Genomic DNA, 21,738 nt, shown 5'->3' on the forward strand with positions numbered 1-21,738 from the left:
GCTAACACGGTGAAACCCCGTCTCTACTAAAAATACAAAAAATTAGCTGGGCGTGGTGGCAGGCGCCTGTAGTCCCAGGCACTCGGGAGGCTGAGGCAGGAGAATGGCGTGAACCCGGGAGGCAGAGCTTGCAGTGAGTGGAGATCGCACCACTGCCCTCTAGCCTGGAAGACAGAGCGAGACTCCGTCTCAAAAAAAAAAAAAAAAAATGTGTATCTGGAAGATTAAGTTCTAACAGACTCTTCATTTCCATAGATCCAATAATGCACTTAGGGAGATGACTGGGCATATTGAGGACAGGAAGAGAGAAATGAAAACACAGCCTTTTATATTGTTCTTAACAGACTTGTGCCAAACATTATACGGGTGTATTTAGGTGATTGAAGAGAAGAAAGGCACAGGAGTGAAATTCTGTGAGCACAAGGGAGGAGTTCTACACTCAGACTGAGCCAACAGACTTTTCTGACCTGACAACCAAGGCGGCGCAGGATGCTCAGTGCAGAGAGGAAGAAGCAGGTGGTATCTGCAGCTGGAAGCCCAGCTCCCACCCCAGCTGCTTTGCATGTCCCTCCCAGCTGCCCTACCTTCCAGGGCCCATATCAATGCCTGGGTCAGAGCCCTGGGGAGGAACTGCTCAGTTAGGACCCAGACGGAACCATGGAAGCCCCAGCACAGCTTCTCTTCCTCCTGCTACTCTGGCTCCCAGGTGAGGGGAATATGAGGTGGTTTTGCACATCAGTGAAAACTCCATCAGGAGTTTTCTCTGATCAGCAAGAAATATAATTAAAATTCAAAGTAGATCAACAATTTTGGCTCTACTCAAAGACAGCTGGTTTGATCTAGATTACATGAGTGCATTTCTGTTTTATTTCCAATCTCAGATACCACCGGAGAAATTGTAATGACACAGTCTCCAGCCACCCTGTCTTTGTCTCCAGGGGAAAGAGCCACCCTCTCCTGCAGGGCCAGTCAGAGTGTTAGCAGCAGCTACTTATCCTGGTACCAGCAGAAACCTGGGCAGGCTCCCAGGCTCCTCATCTATGGTGCATCCACCAGGGCCACTGGCATCCCAGCCAGGTTCAGTGGCAGTGGGTCTGGGACAGACTTCACTCTCACCATCAGCAGCCTGCAGCCTGAAGATTTTGCAGTTTATTACTGTCAGCAGGATTATAACTTACCTCCCACAGTGATTCAACATGAAACAAAAACCTCAACAAGACCATCAGTGTTTACTAGATTTTACCAGCTGCTTCCTTTACAGACAGCTAATGTGGCCACTCAGTTTTAGCGTCTCTGCTCTATTTGGACATTTTGCAGTTCTAAAAAAAAATCATTGAATAATTTGGACTTTGATTCTTGGACTCTCTTCAACTGAGGCACCAGAATCCCAGGTTTCCAGAAATAGTGACTCACTGTATGAATCCTTATATAGCCTCAGTGGTTCTTAACTTTCCCAGTAGAGGTAGCTCAGTGCATGCTACACTGCTCCATTTGAATTTTGCAACATTCTAAGTAGTAGAAAATTCTATTTATTTATCCAAATAGTTGACTCAGTAAAAGCTGTTCATGTGAAGATACTACCATGGCTGAATAAATCCCATTCTTTTTCTTTCTTCAGGCTATCAACATTTCAGTGGCAAATGGTTATTATGGAAACATTTGCCATTTAAAAGTGAACTAAATTATTTCTTCAATTTTCTCTGTGATGCAGTAGACTGTAAAAAGATTAAAGTTTGTTAAAATAAAGTACATATTCGATAAGGAAGAAATAGATTATTCCTAATGACGTCTGCAATGACCTAGTAGAAGGAGTGATAGAAGCAGTTGTTTTCATTATTTTTGTCCAAAACTTCCTTCCAAATGGGATTTCATTGATCATATTCATTTATTACCACCTATAAGACATGTTGACATTATGTAACATCTGATGTGAAGCGCTGAGGATACATCTGTCTGTATTATTCTTGCCAAAAATTAATGGTGTGAATTGAATCAGTAGTAAACATCATATACAAACCCAACTAGGAGGACATTCTTCAACATACCTGGACAGTAAACTTCAAATGTTTGAAGGCCATGAAAGAGAAACAAAAGTGAAAAACTATCACAGATTTAAAGATATTAAGGACAGGATAACCAAATAAAATACAGAAACCTGAATTTTATCTTGTAACATAAAAAAAGTCATCAACGGGAAAAATCAGTGAAATCCATATGGTATTTTAAATGAGTTAACAAATAACATTATATCTATGTTCATTTCATGGTTGTGATACTTATGCTGTGGTTATTTATGATGCTGACATTAGAGCAAGCTGAAAGAGGCACATATGGGAATCATTTTTACTATATTTTTCAAATTTTAGGTCTAAAAGTATTTCACCTCTCTCCTGCATCCTGGGATTGCCTCCAATTAACTACCTGCTTACAAGACTTTTCTTTATTTTCTTTTTGCCTTTTATTCTTTACATGTAAAAGATGAGTCCATCTGGAGCTTATTTTAAAGCACAGTATGAGGACTGACATTGACCTGTTTTTTTAAATGAAATAACTAGCTGTCCCAACCCTGCTTGTTGGATAACACTGCTCTGTTTCAGGAGTACCCCCACTGTCATACACCCGTGGGTCCATACCCCTGGGCTCTCCATCTGGGCACTCCCCTGCCTGTGGCACCTCCTTCCTGAGGGCCGGCCTCACCCAGGGCCCAGCTGCCCTCTCCATGGCCTGTGTCTTCCTTTCCTGATGCCTCAGATTTCCCCCATTCTCTGGCACTCTTTCCATCCTCCTGGCCTCACTCTGCACCTCCCCTGAGGTGCAGGACTGCCCTGCCCCAGCCCCCAGCTTCCTCACTCCCAAAGCCTTGTGCCACTGAAGCACGAGCTCCAGAGTGCACCTGGATGGCAGCTTCTCTCCTGGCCAACAAACGCCTGGTGCTGGCTGCCCTCCCAGCATCTCCCCTCAACTCCTCAGCTCCACCCCAGGGCCTTAACACACACATGCATAGCACACACACATACAAACATATGCACACACAGACATGCACACAAATGTACATACGGACTTACACAGACACATACAAATGTGCACACACTCGTGCATACACAGATGTGTTCATGCAAACACACACGTGCACGCTCACAGGCACGTACACATGTGTAGGTTATGCTAAGAAATCCATTTTGTGTGGAAGACACTCAGGCTCAAATATGTGTCCAAAGTCACACAGCTATGGAGCGGCAGAACTCAGGTCTCTAGTGCACACAGCCCCGACTTACCGCAGTTCCACTTAACAGTTTTCAACTTTATAGTGATGCAAAAGCCATCCACAGTCAGCAGAAACCCTCGTGTGAGTCCCACACGGCCAGTTTTTCGCTTTCAGTACAGCAGTCAATGATTACATGAGGTATCCGACACTTGACTACAAAACAGGCTTCGTGTTGATGCTTCTGCCCACCGCAGGCTCAGGGCAGTGTTCTCAGCAGGCCAAGGTGGGCCCCCCCACGCTGTGCTATTCGGTAGTCAGGTGGACTCAGTCATTTTCCACTCGCAGCGGCCTTATCGGGCCGCAGCCAGGGGTAAGTTGAGCAGTGTCTGTACTTTTAGCTCCACCCTGGGTATTTTTAAGTGGCAGATTTACAACAAAAAATAAAAATAAAAATGAAAAAATACAGCGTTCCAAATAGTAGGGGCATAAAAGGAGAGAATGCACGTTGCGGTCAGCCCATGCCTGGGAGCATAAGCACTTCAGAGGCATCACCAGGCGTGACTGGCTGTTGTTCCTGCTCTTCCTGGCAGCAGCGGCCTGGGCCTGAGAGGGATCGCCCTGGCCACAGCTGTAGGCAAGGCTGCTGGGAGCCAGGAGCCGCCGCGCTCCGCGGTAGCGAGTCTGCGGCGCCACCTCGTGGGTGCTGCGTGGAACTCCCCGTGGTGCGGGCCGGGAAGGCCGGGTCCCCACAAAGCCGGAGCCCGAGCACAGCGGTGCGAGCTCGCCCCAGGACATCCCACAGCACCCGGAGACGGGGGCTGGTCCCCCAAAACCCTCAGGGGTGAGAGGAAGGAGGTCCCCAGCCTGCTGAGAGCTGTCCTCTGAGCACGCACTCGCGCACACTCACACGTGCATGTGTGCATCCTCAGGCACCCTGACGCGTTCACATGCACGTACACGCGTGTGCACACGCACAGTCTTTCACAAGAGTATGACGCATTCACACAAGAGTGTGACGCGTTCACACGCACGCACACTCCCTCTCCCTCGAGCCTGGAAGGTGCACTGGGCTCATAGGGGTGGAAACCTCTACCGCGGCAGAGGCACAGCACCAGGGCCAGGATGCTCGCTTTTATTTCAGACGTGAAAACCGAGGCCCGAAAGAGACAGCCAGTGTCCAACCCTGTCCAACGTCTCTGCTGATTGCGCCTCCTGTGTGTGGCCGGGGCCGGTGTGAGGGCAGCGGGCCCACCGCATGCCTGGCCCGCCCCAGGGCCTCGAGCCACTTCCTCAGGAGCTGCTGGCAGCTGCAGCGACGGCGCACCCAGAGCCCGAGGGTCCCATGGAGCCAGGCTTCCCAGCACACAGGCACGGTGGAGCCTCGGGGTGGGCATACACCCCGCGAGCTCGCGGGGGCTGGGCACTGCGGGTCCTCGGGTGGGGACTCTGGAGTTCAGTCTTGAAGGACACAGTCACTGAGGGTCAGGGAACCAGGAGGGTAGGGAGGGTAGGGAGGGGTGCCTAGGCCTAGTGGGAGAAGCATGTGAAAGTTCCCTAAGAGGGCTGGGGGTGAACAAGCTCTCGGCCCGGCCTCTCCGGGTAGACTGCTCTGGTGCCCTGGAGCCTCCCTTCTCCAAGGCCCCATGGACGCCCCCAGAGGGGTGACGCCCTCGCCCACGCTGAGCTCTGAGTGCTGCACGAGAACTCCCAGAGCCGTGTGCACACGCACTCCCCTTGTTATAACCGGCATTAAGTGCACTCACATTGTCGCATATCCCCTACCACCGTCCATCTCCAGAACTTCTTCATCTTCCCAAAAGGAAACCATACCCACTGAACACCAACTCCCTCCTTTTGTTAACCATTGCTCTTTCTGTATTTGAATTTGCCCATTCTGGGCCCCTCATGTAAGTGAAATCGCAATGTATTTGTCCTTTTGTGGCTGGCTTATTCCATCTAGCACAATGTCCTCAAGGTTCATGCGTGTTGGCACACCTCTCAGAATTTCCCTCCTGGCTGGGTGATATTATAGGCTCACGCCTATTATCCTAGCTGTTAGGGAGACAGAGGTAGGAAGATAGCTTGAACCCAGGAGTTCGAGACCTGCCTGGGCAATATAGCGAGACCGCATTTTCCACAAAAAGAAAGAAAAAAAAGAATCTCCTTCCTGGTAAAGGTTCAGTAACAGTCTACTGTATGCATAACCACATTTCGCTTGCCCATCCACTCACCCATAGACCCTCAGAATGCTTCTACCTTTTGACTCTTGTGAATCACGCTGCTTTGAACATGGGTGTGCAAATATCTGTGAGAGAGCCTGCTCTCAAAAAAATCCATATTCTTGGCACCATGAAGAATCACCTCTCACAGACACCAGCGAAAAGCAAGTCTGTCTGAGAGCAGAGGGTGAGGAGGGGAAAGCCGGGCTGCGGATCACAGTGGGCGGAGGAAAGCCCACCCTTGTGCTCCCATGTGTGGGAGGAGAGAGGAGAGATGCCCTCTAGTGAAGGAACTCTTGTAGCAGCCAGCTCCATTCCTGCTTGGCCTGTGGAGGGCCAGCTCAGGAACCCAGACCAGGAAGAAGTCAAATGACCGACAAGATCCATCAGGAAGCAGAAGTGTGCTGTGTCTCATCGGCAACAACAAACAGAGCTAGGACCAGCCACCCACCCCCCAACCCAGGGGAAATGCATCCACCACACAACTACCACCGCTGCGCTCATGACACTCTCAGAGACAGGCACGGGAGCTCCTGGCAAGGCACAACCAGGGCAAGTGACAGTTTGCCAGTCCTGGGCAAGCAGACACTTATCCTCTCTCCAGTCCCCAATCCCACCAGCCTGCACAAGCAGAGAAACATCCTGCATAAATTAAAAGATCATCCGGATCATCAAAAGATCTGAGCAAACAAAACGACTGAGACAAAAAACAAACAAAACAAAACAAACAAAAAACAGAACAACAACAACAGAAGAACACTCATTTTTACAGAGAGATTTGAGCCCATCCCAACAGAGTACAATGCTCTTTCCAAGCTCATGGATGGCGTTTGGGAAAATTTAGCTGTGCTAAAGGAGCAGGAAGCCTCAGCCCCTTTCCCAAGAATTGCTGTTACACAAATCACATTCTCTCACCAGGGTGCAACAAAATTAGAAACATGCAATAACAAAGACCATGTTAAAAGTGCATTTTGGGGCCGGGCACGGTGGCTCATGCCTGTAATCGCAGCACTTTGAGAGGCTGAAGCGGGTGGATCACCCCAGGTCAGGAGATCGAGACCAGCCTGGGCAACATGACGAAACCCTGTCTCTACTAAAAATACAAAAAATTAGCCAGGCATAGTGGCAAGAGCCTGTAAACCCGGCTACTAGGGAGGCTGAGGCAACAAAATCACCTAAACTTAGGAGGCAGAGGTTGCAGTGAGATGAGATTGTGCTACTGCACTCCAGCCTGAGTGACAGAGTGAAACTCTGTCTCAAAAAAGAAGAAAAAGTGTGTTTTGGAAACAAAGTTAGTTTTCACAATGAAAATTATAAAATGCCTGGAACTCAATAGCAATAGGGTATTACATATTAAAATTATGAAACTCAACAAAATTGACATTTAGGGAGAAATTTATATCCTCAGATTAATTTGTCAGAAACAGGATAAAAGGAGAAAGCTCATGATAATTTGAGTAAAAGAGAAAATAAAAACTAAAATGAAAAACTTTTCAGAAACAAACTACAATAAGTGTGTGACCTATCAAAATCTCTGGATGTGTCCAAAGCAGTTCTCAGGGGAAACGTTATAGCTGGAAGTGTTTGTTAATATGCTTCAACAGAAGACATATAAAATTATATAAACTAAGTAAACATACAAGAAGCTTTTTTAAGGGAAACAAGAAATAAATGTATTTAATTTTAAAACAGCCATAATAAAAGTAGACTTGATAAATAAAACCCAAAACCACTTCTTTGAAAAGACCGTTAAAAAAACCTCTGAGAAGTCAAGCAAAAGAGAAAGAAAAGGCACAAATTTTAAAATGTTAGATTTAGAAAAATGGCATAATAACCAACGTGGAGAAGCTGCTTCAAATCAAGGAGACGGGAGGCCAGCTTCATTCCATGGGAGGCCAGCTTCATTCCAGTAGGTTCCGTTTCACCTGGATGAAATGGAAGATTTTCTTGGAATGTATAAATTGGCTTAGCAGGAGGCAGAAAACCTGAACAAACAGAACAAACAGAAATGGTAAGCAGGTGCTCGAGGGGCTCCATCAGCCTCCAGGGATGGGCTGCTGTGTTAGGGAGGGCCAGAGCACAGGGGAAGTGGAGTGTAATTCTTTCTACAAGATTAGCAAGCTGAACTTGAATCTCACACACGCACACACACCACAGTGACGTGGAAAGAATCCACAGGACACTTATGAGAGGTAAAAATAGAAAGTTTCTGCACAAAACAATCGTGTGTGTTTAAAAGATACCATGTGGCAGAAAATAGTGATGTTTGTTTGCCAGTGTCTAGGAAGAAACCTTGAAGGCGCACGCCAGACTGGCGGCTGGGTTGGCTAGGGAGGAGACGATGGGGTGGGAGCAGCTAAGGACGACACACACTCTTTTAACTCTGTTCCTGCGTTGTCGGGACGTTTACAAACTGAAGATATATATTTTTAATTAATTATTTTTTTTTTTAAAATTTTACTTTAAGTTCTGGGATACATGTGCAGAACATGTAGGTTTATTACATAGGTATACATGTGCCATGGTGGTTTGCTGCACCTATCAATTTGTCATCTAGGTTTTAAGCCCTGCATGCATTAGGTATTTGTCATAATGCTCTCCTTTCCCTTGCCCCCAACCCCTGGATAGAACCTGGTGTGTGATGTTCCCCTCCCTGTGTCTACGTGTTCTCATTGTTCAGCTCCCACTTATGAGTGAGAACATGAGGTACAAACTGCAGATATTTATACATTACTTTAAAGTAATTAAGTTAAACTAAACTAAATGTAAGCCAACTACATGTAAATAAATAAAACCAATAATTAATAACAAGATAAAAATAATTAATACTTAAATAATTACTAATTTATTTCTCAGCTAAAAATTAAAAATTTAGAAAATGTGGAAATGTGTTTCATAATAGGAGGATATTTAAAATGAAAGGGCATTTCTGTAGTCAAAGGGGTAGGAGACTCACCCAAACAAGACACAACCTCAAAACCAAAAGGAAAACTATCAGGTTTGATTATACGAATACTGAAAACCTCTGAATACATGAAAGGCAAATTCTATATCCCATGAAACTACCCTTCAGAAATGAAGAGAGAAATAAAGACATTCTCAGAGGAAGAGAATATAGGAATTTGTCACTGGTCAATTTAGAAATGCTAAAAAGTGGCTACGGAAATATGTTCTGTCATTTCCACAATACAAAAAATTAAAACAAAAAAATCAAAATAAAAAAATGGCTATAGAAAGTTCTTATGCAGAAGGGATGAATATGGGACTATGGGAGGAGGGACAAAGGAAAGACGAGAAATGTGGATACATACGCGAGACAATCCACAGTTCTTAAAATCACATCTGACGACTGAAACAAAAACTATACCACCACCTAATACTCAAGCCAGTGATTTATACAAGTGGAAAAGGTAAAGAGACATAAATGCAAGGCAGGTTTCCACACTTTGAAGTGGTAAATACTGGTACCAGTAGACTACTATATTACAATACACATATTGTAACATCCAGAGCAAACACTTTAAGACTATACAAAGAGATACACGCAACAACATTTTACAGAAATAGATCAAGATGGAGGGAAAGAAAAAGGAAACAAAAAAGCAAATAATAAAAACATCAGGCATAAGCAATTATGTAACAATAAGCACCTTAAATGTAAATGGTCTAAATAAACCAAAAGACAGATTGATGGAGAGCCTATAATAAACACATGGCCCAACTAAATACTGTTCATGAGAAACTTCAAACTCACTTAAGGACCTAAGTAGGTTGAAAGTAAAAGAATGGAGAAAGATATCCTGTGAAATCATTAATTTTTTAAGGAAGCAGGAGTGACTATATTAATATTTCATGAAGTAGACTTCAAGCAAAATAATTTACCAGAGCTGGAGAGGGTCTTCGCTGAATTTTAAGATCTAAAATTTCCTATGCTGCCTTGACATCTTTGAGCCTCACAGGGCCCCAAAGGCCTAGCCGTGGGTTTTCCTGTTTCTACCAGACACCCCCTACCCCGCCACCCAACAGGAAAGGCTCCCCACCTGGCTAGTTCTTTTATCAGCCAGAACAGTTGCACCTCAGCCTAAGAAGTTTCGCTTCACCTGTCTGCCAGCCCATGAATTTATTCAAACAAGCCAATTGCATTCCCCCTCGGGAACCATTGGTCATCGTGTGCTCTTGTTACTACCAAGCCCGCCTGCTTCCTCAGCCCGCAGCCCTCACTCCACTACAGAGTGCGGTGCCCATCTGACCCTGTGTGGCATGCAGTGTCCTCCTCCGAGCTGTGGGTATATGCGACTAAAACACTGCTGTCAATCTCATCCATCCACGCCAGGTGTCATGTTCGGCCATCTCCTACACTTTAGGGCAGGGACCCCTCCTTCACCAATGGGGTGAAAAGGAAGTGACCATAACAACTGCTTAATGACAAAAGGATTAACCCACCAAGAAGACATCTACTTCAACATCCTCCTCTTAGCAACTGTTAAAACTAGGCAGAGGCCGGGCACAGTGGCTCATGCCTGTAATCCCAGAACTCTGGGAGGCAAAAACAAAGGATAGCTTGAGGCCAGGAGTTCGAGCCTGGGCAACATAGCAAGGCCTCATCTCTCCAAAAAATTTTAAATTTAGCCAGGTGTGGCGGCACACACCTATAGTACCAGCTACTCAGGAGATTAAGCCAGGGGGAGTACTTGACCCTAGGAAGTCAAGGCTGCAGTGAGTCATGTTCGTGCCACCGCACTCTAGTGTAAGTGACAGAGTGAAACTAGGCAGAAAAGGAGCAAGGATTTACAAAAGATCTGAACAGTCAACCAGCAAAATCTGACATCCGTATAACACCCCACTCCCCAACAGCAAAACACACACATTTTTAAAGCCAATAGAAATCTACCAAGATGAGGTACACTTGGGGCAATAAAAGAACTCACAGCAAATCTCGCTGTGTGCCCCTCTGCGCCGGCGCCGTGCCCCTCTCTGCGCCTTCTTTTCTCACCATGGGGAAGCGTTTGGGGGCCTCTTGAGGGACCCCCTAGATGCTTCTACTCAGAGCCCCCAAAGCCGGGGAGCCTCCACTCCTCTGTCTGCAGCCTCCCCTGTCGGTTCTCGCTACCCAGGGTTCAGTGGCCTGGGGGTGACGGAGGGGGTCGCCTCTGCCAAGGCCCCTCCCGGCGCCTCCCTGGCTCATCTAGCCCACCTTCCTCCCACGCTGGCTCACGCAAAGTGCTCTGGTCACCAGGAGCCCTTCCTGACCAGCCCCAGCCCCTTCTTGGCCTTCGCCCACCTGGCCTCCCCTGGAGCCCTGACCTGGGTGCCGGGCCTGCTGGGTCCAGAGCCCACCCCGCCCTGAACAACCCCGAGTCTCAGCCACCCTCGGTTCTTACCCTTTCACAGCTGGGGAGTGGAGCCTGGGCCTGCACCTCTCCGCGCCAGAGCCGGCGCCAGCGCCTCTCCGCGCCTGCGCCGCCGCTGCGCGCCTCGCCGCCGCTGTCTGCCTCTCCGCCGCTGTCCGTCTCTCCGCCGCGCCGCCGCTGTCCGCCTCTCCGCCGCGCCGCCGCTGTCCGCCTCTCCGCCGCTGTCCGTCTCTCCGCCGCGCCGCCGCTGTCCGCCTCTCCGCCGCTGTCCACCTCTCCGCCGCTGTCCGCCTCTCCGCCGCGCCGCCGCTGTCCGCCTCTCCGCCGCTATCCGTCTCTCCGCCGCGCCGCCGCTGTCCGCCTCTCCGCCGCTGTCCGTCTCTCCGCCGCGCCGCCGCTGTCCGCCTCTCCGCCGCTGTCCGCCTCTCCGCCGCTGTCCGTCTCTCCGCCGCGCCGCCGCTGTCCGCCTCTCCGCCGCTATCCGCCTCTCCGCCGCGCCGCCGCTGGCCGCCTCTCCGCCGCCGTCCGCCTCTCCGCCACGCCGGCGCCAGCGCTGTGTGCCTTTGCGAGGGCGGAGCTGCGTTCTCCTCAGCACAGACCCGGAGAGCATTGCGAGGGCGGAGCTGAGTTCTCCTCTGCACACACTTCGGAGATACAGCGAAGGCAGAGCAATGTTCTCCTCAGCAGAGACCCGGGCGGGCGGGCCGGTGGCACCGCGAGGGCGGAGCTGCGTTCTGCTCTGCACAGACCTTGGGGGCACTGCCTCGCTTTGGGACAACTCGGGGCCGCATGGACGGTGAATAAAATCCTTCCTGTTTGCAGCCCTGTTTGTGGTTGGTGGCAGCGATGGACACTGCAGCCAGCCAGAGCGTAGAAAGGCGTCGGGGTAAGTGCGCTATCCAGGCTGCACTGTGGGTGGCCTGGGACGGGTTGGGAGCCCTATCTCAGGCGTCACTGCCCGTCTTGGGTGGCCGGTTGGGTGTGCTATCTGGGGCTGTGCTGCCTGCACCGGGCGGGGGGTGGGGGGTGGTTTGGGGGCCAAACCGGGGCTGCACTGCCTTTGGTGGGGAGCCGGTTGGGGGCACTATCCCAGACTGTATTGCTGGCAACAGTGAGGTGGGCTAAGTGTGCTATCCGGGGCTGCACTGTGCGGCTGTCGGGGGGGTGGCGGTTTCGGGTTGAGGGCGCTATGGGGTGCTGTAATGCCCATGGTGTGGGGAGGCGGGGCAGTTTGGGTATGTTGGGTGTGCTATTGGGGGGGTGACACTGCTGGTGGTAGGGGGCAGGGTGGGTTGGGGGCCATATCAGGGGCTGCACTGATGGCTTTAGCTAGGATTTCTGGTACTATGTTAAACAACAGTGGTGACAGGGGGCATCCTTATCATGTTCCAGATCTTAGAGGAAAAGCTTTCCATTTTTCCCCATTCCATATGATTCTAGCTGTGGGTGTCTTTCCTGTAGTTTTTATTATGTTGCGGTATGTTTCTTCTGTGCCCGTTTCTTTGAGGATTTATAGCATGAAGGGATGTTGAATTTCATCAAATGCTTTTTCGGTTTCAGTTGACGTGATGATACTGTTTTTGTCGTTTATTTGGTTGATATGATGTATCACATTGTATGTTGAGTGACCCTTGGGTCCCAGGGATACATCCCACTTGATCATGATGAATTATCTTTCTAATGTATTACTGAATTTGATTCACTGGTATTTTGTTGAGGATTTTTGCATCCATATTAGAGATCCTGGCCTGTAGTTTCCTTCTTTGATGCTTTTGTCTGATTTTGGTATCACAGTAATAATGGTCTCACAGAATAAGTTTGGAAGTATTCCCTCCTGTTTTTCAAAATAGTTTGAGCAGGATTCGTACTAGGTCTTTAAATTGTTTGGTGTGAAGCCATCAGCAGTGAAGACATCAGTTCCTGGGCTTTTCTTTACTGGGAGACTTTTTCTGATGGCTTCAATCTCATTACTTGTTACCAATCTGTTCTGGTCTTGGATGTTTTCATTGTTTAACCTAAGTAGGTTGTATGCATCTAGGAATTTGCCAATTTCTACTAGGCTTTCCAATTTATTGGCATATAGTAGCCAGTTATGATCCTTTGAATTTCTGAAGTATTAGTTGTAATGTCTCCTTTTTTAATCTGTTGATTTTATTTATTTGAATCTTGTCTCTTTTCTTAGCCTGGTTAAAAGTTTGTCAATTTTGTTTAGCTTTCCAGAAAACCAACTTTTCATTTAATCTTGTATGTTTTTTATTTCAATTTTGTTTGTGCTACGATCTTATTTATTTTCTTATTTTCGGTTTAGTTTGTTCTTTACTAGTTCTTTAAGATGTATTATTTGAAGGTTTTCTTTTGTTTGGATGGTAGGCACTTATAGCTGTAAATCTCTGCCTTTGTACTGCTTTCTGCATAACAAGTTTTGGTATACTGTGTTTTCATTACCCTTTGTTTCATGAAATTTTTGAATTTCTGTCTTAGTATCTTCATTGATCCGCTAGTCATTTATTCAGGAGGGTAGTGTTTAACTTCCATGTGATTGTATTGTTTCCAAAATTGCTTTTCTTATTGATACCTAGTTTTATTCCTTTGTAGTGAAAGAAGATGGCCACGGAGACAGACAGCAGCGTGGTCAGAGTGGTAGGAGCCGGCCATCAGCGAGAGCTGCTCCATGCCTGGCTGCTGGGTCCTAGAGCCTGTGGCCCACTGGCTTGCCTCACTGTGGTTGGTGGTGGTGGTGACAGAGACTGCAGGACGACCAGATGGTAGGACAGGGGCTATCCAGGGCTGCACCTTTCGCAGTGTGGGGTGGGTTGAGGGCGCTATCCAGGGTGTCATTGCCTGCATTAGGGGTACTGGTTGGTAGCACTGTACAGGGCTGCACTGCCCACGGCAGGGAGGGTGGGTTATGGGTGCTTTCTGGGGCTGCAATGCCCATGGAGGAGGACAGGTTAGGGCACTATCGGTTATACGCTACTGGCGGCATTGGGGGACGGAGGTGGGGGGCGCTATTGAGGGCAGGACTAGCAGTGGAGCGGGGGCGAGTTCGGTGCTATCAGGGGCTGCACTGCTGGTGTCGGTCAACAGAGTTGGCATCCCAGGAAGGAGTGGTTCTCCTCTCCCTGACTCCACACTCCAGAGGGCGACCCACTCTTGGTCATACTGGAGTGCAGCAGGGCACGCAGCGTTTGCGTGGGAATCCTGAGCATGGCAGAGCCCCCACACCCACCGTGGTTCCTGGTTCCTGGGCCTGTGTACTGTGGGTCTGTGCCTCAGAGGCTGCCAGGCACCCCTGGGGACACCACGGGGGACAGGGCCCTGTGCGTGGAGGCGTCCGGAACAGGAATTGGCACCTGGGTGTGGAGGGCTGGCTGGGTCTGAATTTTTCTGCTTCTCCTGCTCCCCGAGGAGTGCAGCCCCAGTGGGCCCAATGGTTCCTGTGGAGTGGGGAGCTGGGTGCTGTGGTGTCTCCAGCACCCACCCCAGACCCCAGTTCCTGCCCAGCTTGGGCCAAAAGGAGAGGCTGGACTTTGGAGGGTGGGTGTGAGTGCCTTTGCTGAAACTGGCCCCTGCCACCCAGTGGCCGGCATGACAAGTTGAGGCTCTAACCCTTCCACCCCTCACGTCTTTCTCTAGGCTTTTCTGGCTTTGCCCGCCCAGCTGCTCTGTGCCAGGAAGAGGAGGAGACACCTAGAGCCTGCGACACCATGGCTCGCCTCGCTGCGGGTGGGCGGCAGTGACGGAGACTGCAGTGCGCCAGAGCGGTAGGAGAGCGGCTGCGCTAGGAGGGCAGGCGGCTGCAGCCAGGGTTGGGGGTCAGGCTTAGAGCGATGGACGGGCTGCAGCAGTGGCCAGATGGTAGGAGCCTTGTAAGGAGGGCTGGTGCATTGGCAATGGGCCTGGCTTTGCCCTGCGCCTGCCGTGGATCTGGCCCTGTACTGCCCTGCCTTGCCCTGTACCTGCCCTACTGTTACTTGGACTCTCGGCCCTGTCCTGCTCTGGTCCCATCCTGACCCTGTCTTGGCCCTGTGCTACCCTGTCCCTGCCCTGGTCTTGCCCTGGCACTGGCTCTGCCCTGAACCTGCACTGGCCTGACCTTGGCTCTGGCCGTGGCTCTGGCCCTGCCTCTTGTCCTGACCCTGGTCGTGTCATGGCACTGGCCCTGCCAATGGTCATGGTCCTGCTCCTGTTCTGGCCCTGACCTGGCCTTGGACATGTCCTGGCCCTGCTTTGGCCCATCCCTGCCCTGGCCCCACCATGGGCCTGCCTGTTCTGCCCTCTCCTGGCACTGACCTTGCCCTGTCATGGCCCAGTGGTGCCATTGCCCTGCCTTACCCTGCGCTGGTTGTGACTTGGCCCCGCTTGGTGCTGGCCGCTCCCTGGACCTGCCCTGGACCTGCCCTGACCCTGCCCTTGGCTTTTGCCCTGCCCTCACTGTGGCCTGGCCCTGGCCCTAGCCCTGGTCCTGCCATATCCCTGGCCCTGCCCTTATCCAGGCCCTGCCCCTGCTGCTGCCCTGGCCCTGGCCTGGAACCTGGTCCTGTCAAGGACCTGCCCTGACTCTGCCATGGCCCTGGCCCTGCTCTGCCTTGTTCCTGGCCCTGACCCAGACCCAGACCCTTTCCTGGCTCTGCACTGGACTTTCCCTGGCCCTGAGCTGGCAATGGTCTGCCCCTGGTCTTGCCATCACCCTGCCCTGCTGCGCTCTGGATGTGTCATCACCCTGCCCTGGCCCTACTCTGCCTTTGACCCTGCCCTGGCCTTACCTTGGCCCTCACCCTAGTCTTCGCTAGACCCTGCTCTGGAGCTGGCCCTAGCACAGACCTGGCCCTGATCCTGGCCGTGGTCTTTGTCCTGCCATAGCCCTGGCCCTGAAGTGGACTTGGAGGTGTCCTGGCCCCGGCATAACATGGCTCTGCATTGGCCTGTCCCTGCCCTGCCGCTACCATCTCCTTGCCCTGCTCTGTCCTGTCCCAGTACTGTCCCGGCCGTGCTATTTCCCTTCCCTACCCTGCCTTGGCTGTGCCCTGGCTCGGTTCTGGCCCTGGCCCCGGCCCTGCCCTGGACATGCTCTGACACTGCCTCAGCCTCGGCACTAGCCTGGCTCTTTCTTGGCATCAGCTCTGCTCTCTCTGTGGACCGGCTCTTGTCCTGTCCTGCACTGGCCATACCATGCCCTGCCCTGCCCTGCCCTGACTCAGTCCTGGCTCAGCCCTGGCCCAACCTTGGCCTTGGCATTGCCCCTGGTCATGCCATATTTCTTGCCCTGTCCCTACCCTGGCCTTGGCCCTGACCCTTACCTTGCTGTGGCCCTGCCCTTGCCCTAACGCAGCCCCTGGCCCTGTCATGGCCCTGCCCTGGACCTGTCCTGGCCCTGGCCCTTCCCTGCTTGAGAACTTGCCCTGGTTCTCCCCTGGCCCTGACCCTGAAATGCCTGGCCCTACCCTGGCCTTGCACTGCTCTGGCCCTTGCCCTGACTCTGGTCCTGTCACTGGCCTAGCCCCAGCCCTGTTGCTGGTCTTACCATGGCCCAGACCCTGCCTTGGCCCTGCCCTGACACTGTCCTGGACCCTGGCTGTGCCAAGAACCTGCACTGTCCTTGCCATTGTTTTGCTCCTGCCCCGAACCTGGTCTTCCCCAGGCCGTGGCCGTGGCCCTGGCCCTGGCCCTGCCCAGGTCTTGGCACTGTCCTGGCCCCGCCCTGCCCTGGCCCTATGCTTTCCTGGCCCTGCCTTGCCGGCCCTGGCCCTGCCTTGGCCCTAGCCTGGCTTTGACCCTGCCCTGGCCCTACCTTGGCCTTCACCCTAGCCTTACCTGGGCACTGTGTTGGACCTGGCCATAGCACAGACCTGGTTGTGGCCCTGGTCCTGCCGTGGCCCTGTCTCAGACCCTAGCCCTGCCAGGTACCTGTCCTGGCCCAGCTCTGGGCCTGGCTTTGTCCCTGGTTCTTAGATGAACCTGGTCCTGCTCCTGCCCTTGCTCTTGCCCTGGAACTGGCCTTGGACATGTCCATGGTCCTAACCCTGGCCCTGCCCAGGAGCTGCCACTGTCTTGGCTGTGCCCTGGCTCTGGCCCTGCCCCGGCCCCAACCATAGACCTGCCCTGGTTGGTCGTGAACTACCTTAACCCTGTGCTACCCTGGGCCTGCTCCACCCTGCCCTGGCCCTGCCCTCCCTTTGGCCCTGCCCTGACCCTGCCTTGGCCCTCACACTGGCCCTAGCACAGACCTGGTCCTATGTGTGGCCTTGGCCTGGCATTGACCCCTGCTCCTGACCCCGGTCCTGCCATGGCCCTGGCCCTGCCAATGACCCTGGCAGCCCTGGCCCTGTCTTGGCCCTGGCCCTGAACTGGCCCTGCCCTGACCCTGGCCCTGAAGTGGATTTGCAGGTGTCTTGTCCCTGATGTAACCTGGTCTTACCATGGCCCTGTCCCTCCCCTGGCTCTGTCCTGGCCTTCTGCTGACCCTGACCCAGACCTTGGCCCTGCCCCAGCCTTGTCCTAGATCTGGCCATGGCCCTGCGTCTGCCCTGGACCAGCGCTGGCACTGGCATGGACCCTGGCCCTGGCCCTTCGCTACTTAAGGCCATGCCCTGGCCCAGCCCTGGTCCTGACCCTGTCCTGGCCCTAATTTGGCGTGGCTCTACCCTGGCATGCTATTCTGGCCCTAGCCCTGACCCTGTCCCTGTCCCTGTCCTGGCCCCAGCCCCATTGCTGGTCCTGCCACGGCCCTTGTCCTGACATTGCCCTTTCCTGGTTCTGGCCCTGGCCCTGTCCCAGCCCTGCTCTGGCCCTGGTCTGAACCCTGGCCCTGCAATAGACCTGCCTTGGTCCTGCCCAGACCCTGGCTCTGGCCCTACCTCTGCCCTGGCCATACCCTTGCCCTGGCCTGGACCCCAGTCCTGGTCCTTGTCCTGCCCCAGCCGTGGCCCTGGCCCTGCCCTGCCTGTGCCCTGTTCTATCCTGGGCTGGCCCTGCCATGGCCTGGTCTTGCCATTGCCCTGCCCTAGCCTGCCCTGCTTGTGCCCTAGACCTGCCCCGGCCTTTGCCCCTGTCTTGGTTCTAGCCTTGACTGAGCCCTGGACCTTCCCTGATCTTGCCTCAGCCCTGGCACTACCCTGGCCTTGCCTTGGCATTTGCCTTACTCTCTCTATGGCCTGGCTCTGGTCCTGCCCTGCTCTGCTCTTGTTCTGTCCTGGCACAGCCCTGGCCCTGGCCCTGGCCCTGCCGTATCACTGGCTCTGGTCCTGCCCTTATGCAGACCTGACCCTGCCACTGCCTTGGCTTTGGCCTGGACCTTGGCCATACAGTGACCCTGCCATGACCCTTTCCTGGCCCTGGCCTGGAACCTGGCCCTGCCAAGGACTCGCCCTGGCTCTGTCATGGCCCTGGCCCTTTCCTGGATTTGGGTGTGTCCTGTCCCTTATTTGCCCTGGCCCTTCCCTGGCTCTGCCATACCCCTTCTCTGGGGTAGGGCCAGGGTCAGGACCAGACCAGGGCAGGGTCAGGACCAGGGTAGGGCCATGGTAAGGCCTGAAGATGGGAAGGGCCAGGGCAGCGGCTGGACCAGGGAAGGGTCAGGGCCAGGGATGTAGTAGGACTAGGGGCAGAGCCGGCACTAGGGCTGAGCCAGGACAGAGCAGGAGAGATTACATTGGGCTATTACGTAAAATTTTTATTTTAGATTTTTAAGATAACTATAGTAGTAGTAATGTCTATACTATATTGTTTGTAATAGTAATAATATTTGCAGTAATCACTAAATTTTAACTAATACTATCTTTGCTTCCAGTAGTGTTCTATGAGTATAATTTTATCAATATGTTAATATGTGAGGCATTGATTCTCACAATAATTCTATGTGCTAGGTACTTAAAGCATCCCCATTTTCCAAATGTAGGAAACAGGCATAAAGAAGTTAAATACTTGGCCAGATTACTCCTGTAATCCCAGCACTTTGGGAGGCCAAAGCAGGCAGATGGCTTGAGCTCAGGAGTTTGGAACCAGCCTGGGCAACATTGTGAAACCCCATCTCTACTAAAAATGCACAAAAAGAACTAATTTAAGTTTCTTGTAGGATTCTGGTTACAAAACACTGGTCAAACACACAGGGCATGGATAGGGCAGGGCCAGGGACAAGGTCAGGCCAGGAAGGGGCCAGGGCCAAGGCAGGGCCAGAGATGGACTTGGAAGTGTCCTGGTCTGATTTGCCCTGCCCCAACGTTGGCCCAGCCCTGCTCTGGCACTTCCTGTCATGCCCTGTCCCTGGCCTGAGCACTGGCCCTGGCCCTGTCCTGCTTCTGGCCCTGCCCCGGAGTTGACCAGGCACTGCCATGGCCCAGTCCTGCATTGCCCTGCCCTCCTCTGCCCTGGTGCTACCATGGCCCTGCTTGGGCCCTAGCTCTGCCTCTACTCTGGACCTGCCCTGACTCTGCTCAGCCCTGGATCTACCCTGACTCTGCCTTGGTGTTGCCCTCCCATCTCTATGGCCTGGCTCTGGCTGTGCCTTGCATAGATCATGCTCTGCCCTGCGTGTCCCAGCCTGGGCCCAGCCCTTGTCCTACCATATTCCTGACCCCAGCCATACCCTTCTTCTGGCCGTGACCCTGCCGTGGCCCTCTCCTGGCCCTTCCTTGGTCCTGCCCTGCCCTTCCATGCCCTGGCCTTGCCCTCACCCTGCATTGGCCCTGCACTGGTCCTGCCCTGCCCTGGCACTGCCTTGGCCCCGGCCCTGCCTTCTCCCTGGTCTTGCCTTTGCCCTGCCCTGGCCTGACCCCAGGCCTACCGAGTCCATGAAATGGCCCTGGACCTGCCTTGCCATCGTCTGTCCTGGCCCTGTATTGTCCCCACCATGCTCTGGTCCAGCGCTTGCCCTGGCCCTGTTGCTAGTCCTGCCACTGTTATGGCCCTGCCCTGTTTTTGGCCATGCCCTGTGCTACCCTAGCCCTGCCCTGCCTTGGCCTTGGCCCTACCATGGCCTTCTCCTACCCTGGCCTGGCCCTACACTGGCCTTTTCTACCCTGGCCTTGCCCTTCCCCTGGTCTTGCCTTGCCCTGGCCTTGCCCTGCCCTGGCCTTGGCTTTGCCTTATCCTGGTCCTGGTTCTGCCCTGACCCTGGCCTTGCTCTGGATCCTCTCTGGTTCTGCTTTCTCCCTGGCCCTGCCCTTGCTCTGGCCCTGTCCCTGGCCCAGCCTTGACCCTGACCCTGGCCCTGACAATCCCCAGGTCTGACACTGGCCATGCTTGGCCCTGGCCCCTCCTTTTGGCCCTGCCCTGGCCCTGCCTTGGCCCTGTGCTATCTTAGTCCTGCCCTGGCCCTGAACTCACCCTGGCCCTACCCTCACCCTACACTGGCCCCGCCCTACCCTGGCCTTGCCCTGCCCTGGCCCTGCCTTTGGCCTGCTCTGGCTCTGGTTCTGCCCTGGCCTTGCCCTTGCCCTGGACCCTCCCTGGCCATGTTTTTTCCATGGTCCTTCTCTGGCCTTGCCCTTGCCCTGTCCCCTTTCTGGTCCTGCCATATTTCTGGCCCTGTCCTGTCCATGTCCTGGACCTGACTCTGGCCCTGGACCTCCCTGTCCCTGCCCTGCCATACCCTGGCCCGTTCCTTGCTCTACACTGACCCTGCCCTGCCTTGGCCCTGTGCTACCCTAGCCTTGCCCTGGCCTTCTGCTGACCCTGATCCTGCCATGGCCCTGGCCCTGCCATGTCCCTGCCCTGGCCCTGGTTCTGCCCTGCTTCTGGCCCTGGCCTTGGTCCTCTCATGTCCCTGGCCGTGACCCTGCCCCTGGTTTTTCTCTGGCCATGACCCTGCCCCTGTTCTGTCCTATCCCTGGCCCTGTCTTAGTTCTGTCCTAGCCCTGGCTTTTCACAGTACTTTATGCTTAGTAAGGGCTCCATGGTGTCTGTGAGTTGAATGTTGTGTTCATAGTATCTGCCAAAACAGAAAGAAAAAAAACAAAATATTTTGATAAGAAGTTAAAGCTTTGTATATAATATGCCTTGAATTGTAAATGCCTGTTATTAGTTGTATTACATATAGGTCATGGTTTTGTACACATAACTCCAAACCATTGATACTGTTAAAAGAATATATGAATATATGAAAGAATGTGTAAATGTAAGAATGTATCAGTATCTAATTACCTTTCCAAATTAATTTTTATTTTTAGCTCTATTAGATTTTTCTCAGTGTAACAAATGTTTATTCCTATGTAATTAAGGGCGTATTTCCTGTACAGAATATTCATATTACCTAATTGAAAATTATATGATACAAAAATATAATACTATTTTTAGGCCAGGCATGGTGGCTCATACCTGTAATCCCAACATTTTGAGAGGCCAAGTTTGGAGAATCATTTGAGTCCAGGAGTTGACCAGCCTGGGCAACATAGTGAGACCTTGTCCTTATTAAACAAATAAATAAATAGGTTGGGCACTGTGGCTCATATCTGTCATCCCAGCATTTTGGGTTGCCAGTGCAGGAGGATTGCTTGAGCCCAGGAATTTGAGACCAGCCTGGGCAGAATAGCAAGACTCCATCTCTACAAATAATAAAATATTAACCAGGTGTGGTGGTGCGCACCTGGGGTCCCAGCTACCTGGGAGGCTAATGTGGGAGGTTTTCTCGAGGCTGCAGTGAACTGTGAATGCACCACTGCATTCCAGCCTAGGCCACAGAACAGGACCTTGTCTATGAATAAAGAAATAAGTAAAAATATAAATAAAAATAAGTAAAAAGAAATATTAGTAAATATAAATATAAATACATATAAACATAAAAATGCATGCATGAAAAGAAACAATTTTTAAATTTAACATCACTGAGGGCATCCTATCCATTTCATTTCATGATTCCATTATGTCATTTCACTTAGATGAAATGATAAGATGACTTGAGATGAGATGAAATGATGAGATGAAATGACAAAATGATGAGATGAGATGAGATGATGAGATGAAATGG

The 21,738-nt window shown here is 52.1% G+C and overlaps 1 protein-coding gene, 1 long non-coding RNA gene and 1 pseudogene across 5 annotated transcripts, besides 3 other annotated features; 2 read left to right on the plus strand and 1 right to left on the minus strand.

The window, feature by feature from the left end:
- LOC100652743 (ig kappa chain V-III region VH-like pseudogene) lies at positions 872-1,222 on the plus strand (annotated as a pseudogene).
- LOC124907854 (uncharacterized) lies at positions 2,091-10,969 on the minus strand. 4 transcript variants are annotated; one of them, XM_047446730.1, is made up of 2 exons: positions 10,806-10,969; positions 2,091-7,409 (listed from the first exon to the last, which is right to left on the minus strand). In XM_047446730.1, the coding sequence occupies exon 2, from the start codon at positions 4,597-4,599 to the stop codon at positions 3,754-3,756; it is 846 nt and encodes a 281-aa protein (XP_047302686.1). In that variant the 5' UTR covers positions 4,600-7,409; positions 10,806-10,969; the 3' UTR covers positions 2,091-3,753. The 4 variants fall into 4 exon arrangements, with proteins under 4 accessions (XP_047302686.1, XP_047302690.1, XP_047302689.1 ...); XM_047446734.1 differs by having other exon boundaries at positions 2,091-7,349; positions 10,806-10,919; XM_047446733.1 differs by lacking the exon at positions 10,806-10,969 and adding an exon at positions 10,353-10,792.
- Positions 3,604-4,107: an enhancer, noted in NCBI's record as "H3K27ac-H3K4me1 hESC enhancer chr2:91757725-91758235 (GRCh37/hg19 assembly coordinates)". NCBI's record gives its function as "activates a minimal SCP1, AML or CMV promoter by ChIP-STARR-seq in naive H9 embryonic stem cells {active_cell/tissue: H9 hESC(naive)}" and the evidence as "EXISTENCE:reporter gene assay evidence [ECO:0000049][PMID:30033119]".
- A 337-nt stretch (positions 10,970-11,306) lies between the features above and the next one.
- LOC105377635 (uncharacterized) lies at positions 11,307-20,882 on the plus strand. The gene is made up of 3 exons (XR_940325.3): positions 11,307-11,661; positions 13,371-13,540; positions 14,412-20,882. It is a non-coding gene; the product is annotated as an uncharacterized LOC105377635 (long non-coding RNA).
- Positions 16,568-17,412: an enhancer, noted in NCBI's record as "H3K27ac-H3K4me1 hESC enhancer chr2:87581544-87582388 (GRCh37/hg19 assembly coordinates)". NCBI's record gives its function as "activates a minimal SCP1, AML or CMV promoter by ChIP-STARR-seq in primed H9 embryonic stem cells {active_cell/tissue: H9 hESC(primed)}" and the evidence as "EXISTENCE:reporter gene assay evidence [ECO:0000049][PMID:30033119]".
- Positions 17,413-18,257: an enhancer, noted in NCBI's record as "H3K27ac-H3K4me1 hESC enhancer chr2:87582389-87583233 (GRCh37/hg19 assembly coordinates)". NCBI's record gives its function as "activates a minimal SCP1, AML or CMV promoter by ChIP-STARR-seq in primed H9 embryonic stem cells {active_cell/tissue: H9 hESC(primed)}" and the evidence as "EXISTENCE:reporter gene assay evidence [ECO:0000049][PMID:30033119]".
- Positions 20,883-21,738: the final 856 nt, after the last annotated feature.

The sequence above is a fragment of the Homo sapiens genome, chromosome 2 (genome assembly GCF_000001405.40).
Source record: "Homo sapiens chromosome 2, GRCh38.p14 Primary Assembly".
Classification (NCBI taxonomy): domain Eukaryota; kingdom Metazoa; phylum Chordata; class Mammalia; order Primates; family Hominidae; genus Homo; species Homo sapiens.

What these genes read in the sequence shown, in the direction of transcription:
- LOC124907854 (XM_047446730.1), bottom strand. Translation starts at nt 4,599, where the DNA reads ATGCCCACCCCGAGGCTCCACCGTGCCTGTGTGCTGGGAAGCCTGGCT.